This window comes from Homo sapiens, chromosome 10, assembly GCF_000001405.40.
Source record: "Homo sapiens chromosome 10, GRCh38.p14 Primary Assembly".
Taxonomy (NCBI): Eukaryota; Metazoa; Chordata; class Mammalia; order Primates; family Hominidae; genus Homo; species Homo sapiens.
Window position 1 is genome coordinate 95,923,855 of NC_000010.11, and position 12,255 is coordinate 95,936,109.

The window sequence follows — 12,255 nt, forward strand, 5'->3', positions numbered from 1 at the left end:
AAATACAAAAAAGAAAGTTAGCAGGGTGTGGTGGCGCACGCCTGTAATCCCAGCCACTCAGGAGGCTGAGGTAGGAGAATCGCTTGAACCCGGGAGGGGGAGGTTGCAGTGAACCAAGATGGTGTCACTGCACTCCAGCCTGGGTGACAAGAGCAAAACTCTGTCTCAAAAAAAATAAAAAAAATAAAAAAGAAGGTGATAGAGGATAGAAAAGTTGTCACAAAGAAAAACAAAAATCAGTCCTGAATGGGTGAAAGTATTTATTCCAGATGGAAAAGGGGAAAGGACATCTATTTGTCTTAGATTCTAAGCTCTCATAAGATAATAACCTAGTTTTCATAATTGTCATGAGGCTTAGAAATGCATGCAATTAAAGAATTTAATAAATACTTTTGCTGCTATTGTTGTTTAATTATAATAAAGTGTCATAAACTCTTTATTATGTTGGTTTCCTGATAGATTTAGATGCAGAAGAAAATCAAAATGTAGCAAAGACATTGAGAGGCAAAGTGAGAGAAAAGCTAAAAATTTCTAAGGTAATGCTTTTTAAAATTTCCTGTTTTCAAATTTACTATTTAAATGAGACATTTAACACAATCAAGTTTTCTTTGTCAAAAGAGCCGAAATTCAGTGTTAATATAGCTCCTTAATTCCTAAAGTCTTCCTCTCTCTCTCTATATATATATTTTCCTTTTGTCTCATAACATCCTTATAATGTCAAACCTAAAGCCAAGAAGAGCTAGGTGATTTGGTCATAGTAATTATAAATGACATTTCAGTATGTCTGCTGATATTTCATGTACACATACCACACTTTTTAAAAGAAAAACATTGCAAAGTATTGATATTTATAAATTTTGGACAAAAGACTTATGAGCACAATTATGTCTATTTCTGTAAAGATTTATTTATGTTGTGTTTCAGATTAATAAAGGTGAAAAATCTTCAACTGAGCAGCTCATTGATAGCGAAATACATCAAAGGTCCAAGGTGAATAACTTTTCTCTTTTTTTACTTTTTAAAACAGCTTTATGGAAGTATAGTTTACATAGCAAAACTTCACCCATTTAAAGTGTATATGACTCAATGATTTCTAGTTAATTTACAGAATTGTTCAATCAATACCACAGTTTAGTTTTTATCACCCAAAAAAGATTCCTCTTTATCAGTGATTGCCCATTTGCAATCACCCTCTATTCTTACTTGGCATTACTTTTTATCCTAAAAAATTATAATAAAATATTGTTAAAAGATAAACTTAGGAACATTAAAAGTTTAAAGAGTTTATTTGAACAGGCAACAATCCATGAATTGAGGAGTGCCACTGTGCAGATGGTTAGGGCTCCACCGAAAGGGCATGCAGGGAAAACTTTTAAACGGTGCATGCGGAAGCAAGGCAAAGAAAACATTGATTGACTAGAATGGAGCAGTAGCCTTAAAGTTCCTAGTTAGAGATTAGTTGGCAGTTTCTGATTGGTAAAACTAAAGTTACAGTTTCCTTGGATAGGACCATTCACACTGAATTGGGTTTGGTTTGCTTACATAGGAACTCAGGGCCCTAGAGCTGCTTCAGTCTAATAGCCTCCCAATTAATTATTTTAACAATGTTATAGGTGATATCCAACTTACAGATTTTAATCCAACTTACAGATTTTTAATTTAATGTGTAATCAATATTTGAAAATTCAATGTGTAATCACATATTTGGAACTTGAAATGACAAAACAACTCATATTTTTAAAGAGTTATATTATTTAGAGGACAAGCTAAGTAGCTGTAACAAAAAGATTCAAAGTAAAGTGTTTTCATTAAGATAGAAGTTTCCTTTTTCTCTAATGTAACAAATCAGCAGTCGGGGCTGATAGGAGAGTTTTGCCATCTCCAATATGTGGTTTCCATCCGTAAGTCCAATGGCAAAGCTGTAGTTTTCCATTTGCTAGCAAAAGGGAAGTGGGGAAGAAAGAACCAAAGGATTTTAGGTTGATCTTTTAGGGGAGAAGACCAGGAAACTGCATATCATATCATTTCCACCAAATGAATGTGGAAGAAGTGTCTAGGTTCTACTATTAGAGTTGGGAGAAAAGACTGTAATGAGCAACTAATAGTTTCTGCCACAAGCACCTAGAGTATTTAACTGCAAATTTTAAAATGCAAGGTTTTTTTTTTTAAATTTATCTTTGGCTCCTCAACAGAGCACCTCTTAGATGCTTAATAAAAATTATTTTAATTAAATGTAAAGGTAAACGCAGACTAAAAAGTGATGTTTATGTGCATGTTATTCACTCAACACATGAATTAAAACATGCCTAAATTGGATTTAATTTCACTACGAGTAGTAAAAACTATAAAGAGTTACAAAGTTTGTCAAGGTCAATCCATTGAGTATCAGGAAAAGGGGTTAAAAGGAAGAGAAATTGGCTTCTAAGAAACACGATCCCAATTACCACACAGGTATATTTGCTCAGGAAGCAGAAGATTTCAGCAAGTGATTTTGAGATGTGCAGAGGTGATGGGGGGTAAAAGTATATACTGACAATTCATATAAGCAGCATTGTTACAAGGTGAATAACTTTTAAGTTAATATGATGGCTACAGTGTAGATACAAACAATATAAAGATAAGCTTTTATCTTACAAGATAAAATCTTATAATTTTATATTTTATAAAATTATCTTATATAAAGTTATATCTTATAATTTTATATTTTACATATTTTAAATTCTTTCATTCCTAGTAACTATGAGTTTTACTTATTATAGAATTGATTCCTTTCCCAAGCCTTCCTTAAAACATTTCATTTTAATATATGTGTGTGAGAAAGAAGTGATTTATCAATTCAAAGAGTCAGACAAGAGTGAAAAATGAGAGCTTCTTTGTCAGCGGGTTTACAACCAAGAATATACCACTTTTCAGACTTTTAATTGCTTCTAACTCCATGAAAGATTGTGGGCTGAGGTGGCAGTGTGTGTGTGTGTGTGTGTGTGTGTGTGTGTCTGTGTGTGTGTGTGTGTGTGTGTGTGCGCGCGCCTGAACAGGACAGCACCAAAAACAAGGAGAGAAAAGAAAGTTCCACTGGAGCCAGCATTTTGGTCAAACTCTTATCACCCAGACTATAGTGAGGAGATAGTTTGGGAAGATGGAGAAGATTCTGGCTGTATATTCTGGCTTTTCTTGCAGTTACCCGAACATTAGAAACAAAACAAAAATAAAAACTCATGAACCAAACAGACTCAAAGCTAAATATACCTTGATATTGTTTGCCTTGGTGCTCCCTGTTTGCTAGAGAGATAACAATTATGTTTACCATATTACAGAAAACTATTTCCTTTACTTATAAGCAGAAAAAGTGTTTATTTCAACACTAAATACTGGTTTATCATAGTTGTCTCCACAGACTGAAGTCTCATTGGATGAAAGTCTTTCATTTTTCATTCTGAGTGGTGAAGAAGGTTCAGCTTTGGGCAAGTCTTCAGAGCAGGTTGGATTTGTTTGCCTCCCTCCCACCATCTCACTCTCAGGAAAAAATGATTCTTTATTAAAAGTGCAGAATGAAATACTTGGACGGGAGATAAAGTTTTATTATTGTGCCTTCATCTTCTCTTTGAATTAAGAAGCTGTTCATAATAATAAAACCTAGCATTTATTGAGTGCACTCTGAATGCCCAGTGATTACTAAGTTTTTAACACGAATTGTAGCATTAAATCCTCATCTTAACCCTGTGAGGCAGGCATTATGCTTATCTTTACAGGTAACGAAAATCAAGCAAAGAGGGTTAAGCCTTGATACAGCTGGAAAGTCTAGGCTGTCAGCTCAAAAGCCTGTGTTTTCTTTTTTCTTTCTTTCTTTCTTTCTTTTTTTTTTTTTGTTCCTATCCTTTCCAAGGGCCCTACATTGTTCTCCACAATCTCCACTACTCCTCATGGTCTCCTCATTCTTCATTCCTCCTAACCCAATCCCAAGCCCTCCTTCTAGTCAGTCCCTCTCAGTCCCCCTCAAACTGTGTAGTCTCCCTGTTTCCCTGGGGTTGCCCTTTCCTCCAGTCCTACTTAGCCTCACTGGTCTTTCCCATTTCCTCCTGACTTGTCTCCCTATCTGCTCTTGTTCCTGGACACTTTCTTCAATTCCTGTGTACCTTCCAGTCTCCCTACAGTTTTCTTGAGCCCTCTGCTACCCAGTACCTCTTATTCTCAGTAGTTCTACATAATGTCTTTTGACACCTCTTGGTCCCTCCAGATCCCTCAGGTCCCCCTGTCAAGTCCCTCTGGGTCCCCCATTTGCCTTCCTACTTCCACCTCCCAGTCTCTTCCAGTCTCCTTTCTTTGCATTCTGCTCCAGTCCTTTCATTCTCGTTTTGTTATTGTTGTTTTTTGCACAATTAAAAAAAAAAAACTCTTAAAATTTTGAACAAGTAAAACATACACAGTATAAAAACGTAATGCAGAAAGCCACAAGGAAGAAAATAAAAATCATCTGAAATCCCACTGCCCTAAGATAGTCACTATTATCATTTTTTCATACTTTTCTCTATGCTTAGCCCTGTACATGCACACACACGTTTTTATTACTATTATACTTTAAGTTCTGGGATACATGTGCTGAACTTGCAGGTTTGTTACATAGGTATACAGGTGCCATGGTGGTTTGCTTGCACCCATCAACCCGTCATCTACATTAGGTATTCTCCTAATGCTATGCCTCCCCTCGCCCCCACCCCCTGACAGGCCCTGGTGTGTGATGTTCCCTTCCCTGTGTCCATGTGTTCTCATTGTTCAACTCCTACTTATGAGTGAGAACATGCGGTGTTTGGTTTTCTGTTCCTGTGTTAGTTTCCTGAGACTGATTGTTTCCAGCTTCATCCATGTCCCTGCAAAGGACATGAACTCATCCTTTTTTGTCTCCATAGTATTCCATGGTGTATGTGTGCCACATTTTTTTTATTCAGTCTATCATTGATGGGCATTTGGGTTGATTCCAAGTCTTTGCTATTGTGAACAGTGCTGTAGTAAACATACGTGTGCATGTGTCTTTATAGTAGCATGATTTATAATCCTTTGGGTATATACCCAGTAATGAGATTGCTTGGTCAAATGGTATTTCTGGTTCTAGATCCTTAGGGAATTGCCACACTGTCTTCCACAATGGTGGAAGACACTCCCACCAACAGTGTAAAAGTGTTCCTATTTCTCCCCATCCTCTCCAGCATCCATTCTTTCCTGACTTTTTAATGATCGCCATTCTAACTGGTGTGAGATGGTATCTCATTGTGGCTTTGATTTGCATTTCTCTAATGACCAGTGATGGTGAGCTTTTTTTTCATATGTTTGCTGGCTGCATAAATGTCTTCTTTTGAGAAGTGTCTGTTCATATCCTTCGCTCACTTTTTGATGGGGTTGTTTTTTCTTGTAAATTTGTTTAAGTTATTTGTAGATTCTGGATATTAGCCCTTTTCAGATGAGTAGATTGCAAAAATTTTCTCCCATTCTGTAGGTTGCCTGTTCACTCTGGTGATAGTTTCTTTTGCTGTGCAGAAGCTCTTTAGTTTAATTAGATCCCATTTGTCAATTTTGGCTTTTGTTGCCATTGCTTTTGGTGTTTTAGTTATAAATCCTTTGCCCATGCCTATGTCCTGAATATTATTGCCTAGGTTTTCTTCTAGGGTTTTTATGGTTTTAGGTCTTACATTTAAGTCTTTAATCCATCTCGAGTTAATTTTTGTATAAGGTGTAAGGAAGGGGTCCAGTTTCAGTTTTCGGCATATGGCTAACCAGTTTTCCCAACACCATTGATTAAATAGGGAATCTTTACCCCATTGCTTGTTTTTGTCAGGTTTATCAAAGATCAGATGGTTGTAGATGTGTAGCATTATTTCTGAGGCCTCTGTTCTGTTCCATTAGTCTATATATCTATTTTGGTACCAGTACCATGCTGTTTGGTTACTGTAGCCTTGTAGTATAGTTTGAAGTCAGGTAGCGTGATGCCTACAGCTTTGTTCTTTTTGCTTAATATTGTCTTGGCTATCCAGGCTCTTTTTTGGTTCCATATGAAATTTAAAGTATTTTTTTCTAATTCTGTGAAGAAAGTCAATGGTAGCTTGATGGGGATAGCATTGAATCTATAAATTACTTTGGGCAGTATGGCCATTTTCACGATATTGATTCTTCCTATCCATGAGCATGGAATATATTTCCATTTGTTTGTGTCCTCTTTTATTTAATTGAGCAGTGGTTTATAGTTCTCCTTGAAGAGGTGCTTCACATCCCTTATAAGTTGTATTCCTAGGTATTTTATTCTCTGTGTAGCAATTGTGAATGGGAGTTCACTCATGATTTGGCTCTCTGTTTGTCTGTTATTGGTGTATAAGAATGCCTGTGATTTTTGCACATTGATTTTGTATCCTGAGACTTTCCCGAAGTTGCTTATCAGCTTAAGGAGGTTTTGGGCTGAGACGATGGGGTTTTCTAAATATGCAATCATGTCATCTGCAAACAGAGACAATTTGACTTCTTCTCTTCCTATTTGAATACCCTTTATTTCTTTCTCTTGCCTGATTTCCCTGGTCAGAACTTCCAATACTATGTTGAATAGGAGTGGTGAGAGAGGGCATCCTTGTCTTGTGCCAGTTTTCAAAGGGAATGCTTCCAGCTTCTGCCCATTCAGTTTGATATTGGCTGTGGGTTTGTCCTGAATAGCTCTTATATACATTCCATCAATACCTAGTTTATTGGGAGTTTTTAGCATGAAAGGGTGTTGAATTTTATCAAAGGTCTTTTCTGCATCTATTGAGATAGTCATGTGGTTTTTGTCATTGGTTCTGTTTACGTGATGGATTATGTTTATTGATTTTCATATGTGGAATCAGCCTTGCTTCCCAGGATGAAGCCCACTGATCGTGGTGGATAAGCTTTTTGAGGTGGTGTTGGACTTGGTTTGCCAGTATTTTATTGAGGATTTTTGCATCGATGTTCATCAGAAATATTGGCCTGAAATTTTCTTTTTTTGTTGTGTCCCTGACAGGTTTTGGTATCAGGATGATGCTGGCCTCATAAAATGAGTTAGCGAGGAGTCTCTCTTTTTCTATTGTTTGGAATGGTTTCAGAGGGAATGATATCAGCTCCTCTTTGTATCTCTGGTAGAATTCGGCTGTGAATCTGTCTGGTCCTGGGCTTTTTATGGTTGGTAGGCTATTAATTATTGCCTCAATTTCAGAATTTGATATTGGTCTATTCAGGGATTCGACTTCTTCCTGGTATAGTCTTGGGAGGGTGTATGTGTCCAGGAATTTATCCATTTCTTCTAGATTTTCTAGTTTATTTGTGTAGAGGTGTTAATAGCATTCTCTGATGGTAGTTTGTATTTCTGTGGGATCAGTGGTGACATCCCCTTTATCGTTTTTTATTGTGTCTATTTGATTCTCCTCTCTTTTCTTCTTTATTAGTCTGGCTAGTGGTCTATTTTGTTAATCTTTTCAAAAAACCAGCTCCTGGATTCATTGATTTTTTGAAGAGTTTTTTGTGTCTCTATCTCCTTCAGTTCTGCTCTGATCTTAGTTATTTCTTGTCTTCTGCTAGCTTTTGAATTTGTTTGCTCATGCTTCTCCAGTTCTTTTAATTGTGATGTTAGGGTGTTGATTTTAGATCTTTCCCACTTTTTCCTGTGGGCTTTTTGTGCTATAAATTTCCCTCTAAACACTGCTTTAACTGTGTCCCAGAGATTCCGGTACATTGTGTCTTTGTTTTCTTTGGTTTCAAATAACTTATTTATTTCTGCCTTAATTTTGATACTTACCCAGTAGTCATTCAGGAGCAGGTTGTTCAGTTTCCATGTAGTTGTGCAGTTTTGAGTGAGTTTCTTAATCCTGAGTTCTAATTTGATTGCACTGTGGTCTGAGAGACTGTTACGATTTCCATTCTTTTGCATTTGCTGAGGAGTGTTTTACTTCCAATTATGTGGTCAATTTTAGAATAAGTGCAATGTGGTGCTGAGAAGAATGTATATTCTGTTGATTTGGGGTGGAGAGTTCCGTAGATGTCTGTTAGGTCCACTTGGTCCAGAGCTGAGTTCAAGTCCTGAATATCCTTGTTAATTTTCTGTCTCATTCATCTGTCTAATATTGACAGTGGGATGTTAAAGTCTCCCATTATTATTGTGTGGGAGTCTAAGTCTCTTTGTAGGTCTCTAAGGACTTGCTTTATGAATCTGGGTGCCCCAGTGTTGGATGCATATATATATTTAGGATAGTTAGCTCTTCTTGTTGCATCAATCCTTTACCATTATGTAATGCCCTTCTTTGTCTTTTTTCATCTTTGTTGGTTTAAAGTATGTTTTATCAGAGACTAGGATGGCAACCCCTGCTTTTTTTTGCTTTCCATTTGCTTGGCAAATCTTCCTCCATCCCTTTATTTTGAGCCTATGTGTGTCTTTGCATGTGAGATGGGTCTCCTGAATACAGCACACCAATGGGTCTTGACTCATTATCCAATTTGCCAGTCTGTATCTTTTAACTGGGGCATTTAGCCCATTTACATTTAAGATTAATATTGTTCTGTGTGAATCTGATACTGTCATTACGATGCTAGCTGGTTATTTTGCCTATTAGTTGATGCAATTTCTTCATAGTGTCAATGGTCTTTATAATTTGGTATGTTTTTGCAGTGGCTGATGCTGGTTTTTCCTTTCCATATTTAGTACTTTTTTCAGGAGCTCTTGTAAGTCAGGCCTGGTGGTAACAAAATCTCTCAGCATTTGCTTGTCTGTAAAGGATTTTATTTCTCCTTAGCTTACGAAGTTTAGTTTGGCTGAATATGAAATTCTGGGTTGAAAATTCTTTTCTTTAAGAATGTTGAATATTGGCCCCCACTCTTTTCTGGCTTGTAGGATTTCTGCATAGAGATCCACTGTTAGTCTGATGGACTTCCCTTTGTGGGTAACTTGACCTTTCTCTCTGGCTGCCCTTAACATTTTTTCCTTCATTTCAACCTTGGTGACTCTGGCGATTATGTTTCTTGGGGTTGCTCTTCTCGAGGAGTATCTTTGTGGTATTCTCTGTATTTCCTGAATTTGAATGTTGACCTGTCTTGCTAAGTTGGGGAAGTTCTCTTGGATAATATCCTGAAGAGTGTTTTCCAACTCAGTTCCATTCTCCTCGTCACTTTCAGGTACACCAATCAAATGTAGGTTTGGTCTTTTCACATAGTCCCATATTTCTTAGAGGCTTTGTTCATTTCTTTTCATTCTTTTTTCTCTAATCTTGTCTTCATGCTTTATTTCATTAAGTTGATCTTCAATCTCTGGTATCTTTTCTTCTGCTTGATCGATTCAGCTGTTGGTACTTTTGTATGCTTCACGAAGTTCTCGTGCTGTGTTTTTCAGCTCCATCTGGTCATTTATGTTCTTCTTTAAACTGGTTGTTCCAGTTAGCAATTCCTCTAACTTTTTTTCAAGGTTCTTAGCTTCCTTGCATTAGGTTAGAACATGCTCTTTTAGCTCAGAGGAATTTGTTATTACCCACCTTCTGAAGCCTACTTCTGTCAATTCATCAAACTTATTCTCTGTCCAGTTTTGTTCCCTTGCTGGTGAGGAGTTGTGATCCTTTGGAGGAAAAGAGGCGTTCTGGTTTTTGAAATTTTCAGCCTTTTTCTGCTGTTTTTTCCTCATCTTCATGGATTTATTTACCTTTGGTCTTTGGTGTTGGTGACCTTTGGATGGGGTTTCTGTGTGGACATCCTTTTTGTTGATGTTGATGCTATTCCTTTCTGTTTGTTAGTTTTCCTTGTAAGAGACCCCTCTGCTGCAGGTCTACTGGAGTTTGCTGGAGGTCCACTCCAGACCCCCTTTGCCTGGGTGTCACCAGCAGAGGCTACAGAACAGCAAAGATTGCTGCCTCTTCCTTCCTCTGGAAGCTTCGTCCCAGAGGGGCACCCATCAGATGCCAGCGGAGCTCTCCTGTATGAGGTGTCTGTCGACCTGTGCTGGGAAGTGTCTCCCAGTCAGGAGGCACAGGGGTCAGGGAACCACTTGAGGAGGGAGTCTGTCCCTTAGCAGAGCTCGAGCACTGTGCTGGAAGATCTGCTGCTCTCTTCAGAGCTGGCAGGCAGGAACGTTTAAGTCTGCTGAAGCTGTGCCCACAGCCGCCCCTTCCCCAGGTGCTCTGTCCCAGGAGATGGGAGTTTTATTTATAAGCTCCTGACTGGGGCTACTGCCTTTCTTTCAGAGATGCCCTGGCCAGAGAGGAGGAGTCTAGAGAGGCAGTTTGGCTACAGCAGCTTTGCCAAGCTGTGGTGGGCTCTGCCTAGTTTGAACTTCCCCGTGGCTTTGTTTACACTGTAAGGGGAAAACCCGCCTACCCAAGCCTCAGTAATGGCGGACGCCCCTTCCCCACCAAGCTTGAGCGTCCCAGGTCGACTTCAGACTGCTGTGCTGGCAGTGAGAATTTCAAGCCAGTTGATCTTAGCTTGCGGGGCTCCGTCGGGGTGGGATCCACAAAGCTAGACCACATGGCTCCCTGGCTTCAGCCTCCTTTCCAGGGGAGTGAACGGTTCTGTCGATTCTGTCTTGTTGGCGTTCCAGGCACCACTGGGGTATGAAAAAAAAAAAACAAACAAACAAACAAAAAAACCTCTTGAAGCTACCTCAGTGTCTGCCAAACAGCCACCCAGTTTTGTATTGAAACCCAGGGCCCTGGTGACGTAGGCCCCCAAGGGAATCTCCTGGTCTGCAGGTTGAGAAGACCATGGGAAAAGTGTTCCTCATGGCACAGTCCCTCAGGGCTTCCCTTGGCTAGGGGAGGGAGTTCCCCAACCCCTTATGCTTCCTGGGTGAGGCGGTGCCCCACCCTGCTTCTGCTCACCCTCTGTGGGCTGCACCCACTGTCTAATCAGTCCCAGTGCAATAAGCCAGGTACCTCAGTTGGAAATGTAGACATCACCGGCCTTCTGCGTTAGTCTTGCTGGGAGCTGCAGACTGGAGCTGTTCCTATTCCGCCATCTTGCCAGCCACAGAGTTTTTTGTTTGTTTGTTTTGTTTTGTTTTGTTTTGAGATGGAGTCTTGGTCTGTCACCCAGGCTGGAGTGCAGTGGCATGACCTCAGCTCACTGCAACCTCTGTCTCCTGGCTTCAAGCGATTCTCTTGCCTCAGCCTCCCGAGTAGCTAGGATTACAGGAATGTGCCACTACACCTGGCTAATTTTTGTATTTTTAGTAGAGATGGGGTTTCGCTGTGTTGGCCAGGCTGGTCTCAAACTCCTGACCTCAGGTGATCTGCCCACCTCGGCCTTCCAAAGTGTTGGGATTACAGGCGTGAGCCACCACATCTGGCCACACAGTTTTATATAAACAGAATCACAGTAGTAAATGGCAATTCCATTTTTCCAGTTGCTCAGTTGAACCTTGGTCTCATCCTCAGATTTCCTTTTACTCAAATGCTTCAAATCCAATTTCTTACAAACCCTGTTGGTTCTGCCTTCAAAGTATTCCCATATCAGACCCACTTTTCACCAGCCTCTCTGGTACTTCACCATAGCCTCTCATCAGAATCACTGCCACTGTCTCCCTCTGTATTCACTATTGTCCCTGTAGTCCATTTTCCATACCATACAGTCATCACAGTGACCTTGTTAAAATCTAAGACAGATTTTTTTTTTTTTTTTGCTTACACTTTCTAATGGTTTCCTACCTCATTCACAATAAAAGTCCTTACAGGGGGGACCTGGTCCCCTTAGCACCTCTCTGACTTTATTTCATTTTTCACTACTCTCCTCTCTGTCATCTAACACCAGCCACATTGGCTTCCTTCCTGTTTCTCATTTACAGCAAGCTCCTGCCTCAGGGCCTTTGTACCAAGGTGTCTGCCTAGAAAGCTCTTTCCTTTTCCGTAAGCTGTGTCCCCCGCTAACTTTGGATTTCTGTTCAAATGACATATTATTATAGATGCTATGCCTGACAACCCTATCTAAAATAGTACCCCCAACCTACCCAGCCCAGCATTCTCTATCCTCTTACCCTGCTTTATTTTTCTTCATAACACTTATCACCACTTAATGTATATTTCTGTGTCTATTTGTTTATTTTCTTCCTGGAATATGTTAGGCACACAATGAATATTTGAATGAATATTGATTAAATGGGTATCAAACTTTCCTATGCTCTTAATCAGTCATCTGACTTCCCAGCATCCCACAATTTGGGTTAAGATAGGCTTTTCTGCAAAAACAAAAGCGGGCCGTGTCTCTGATCCTCCCACCCAGCAGAGTATGCCA

At 39.4% G+C, this 12,255-nt stretch overlaps 1 protein-coding gene and 1 long non-coding RNA gene across 18 annotated transcripts in view; one reads left to right on the forward strand and one right to left on the reverse strand.

Moving 5' to 3' along the window:
- Positions 1-12,255, reverse strand: part of ENTPD1-AS1 (ENTPD1 antisense RNA 1) — a 337,030-nt gene that overhangs the window by 170,649 nt on the left and 154,126 nt on the right. The window lies entirely within an intron of this gene.
- CC2D2B (coiled-coil and C2 domain containing 2B) overlaps positions 1-12,255 on the forward strand; it is a 126,075-nt gene that overhangs the window by 16,184 nt on the left and 97,636 nt on the right. For 16 of the 17 annotated variants that reach the window (XR_002956979.2, XR_002956978.2, XR_002956977.2 and 13 more), the window contains 3 exons: positions 460-536; positions 925-990; positions 3,383-3,478. Coding sequence is in view for 13 of the 17 variants with exons in the window: in XM_024447995.2 (XP_024303763.1) it covers positions 460-536; positions 925-990; positions 3,383-3,478 (239 nt within the window). In the remaining 4 variants the exon portion in view is untranslated. The remainder of the gene's footprint in view (positions 1-459; positions 537-924; positions 991-3,382; positions 3,479-12,255) is intronic. The other variant, XM_011539789.4, reaches the window with a different exon arrangement.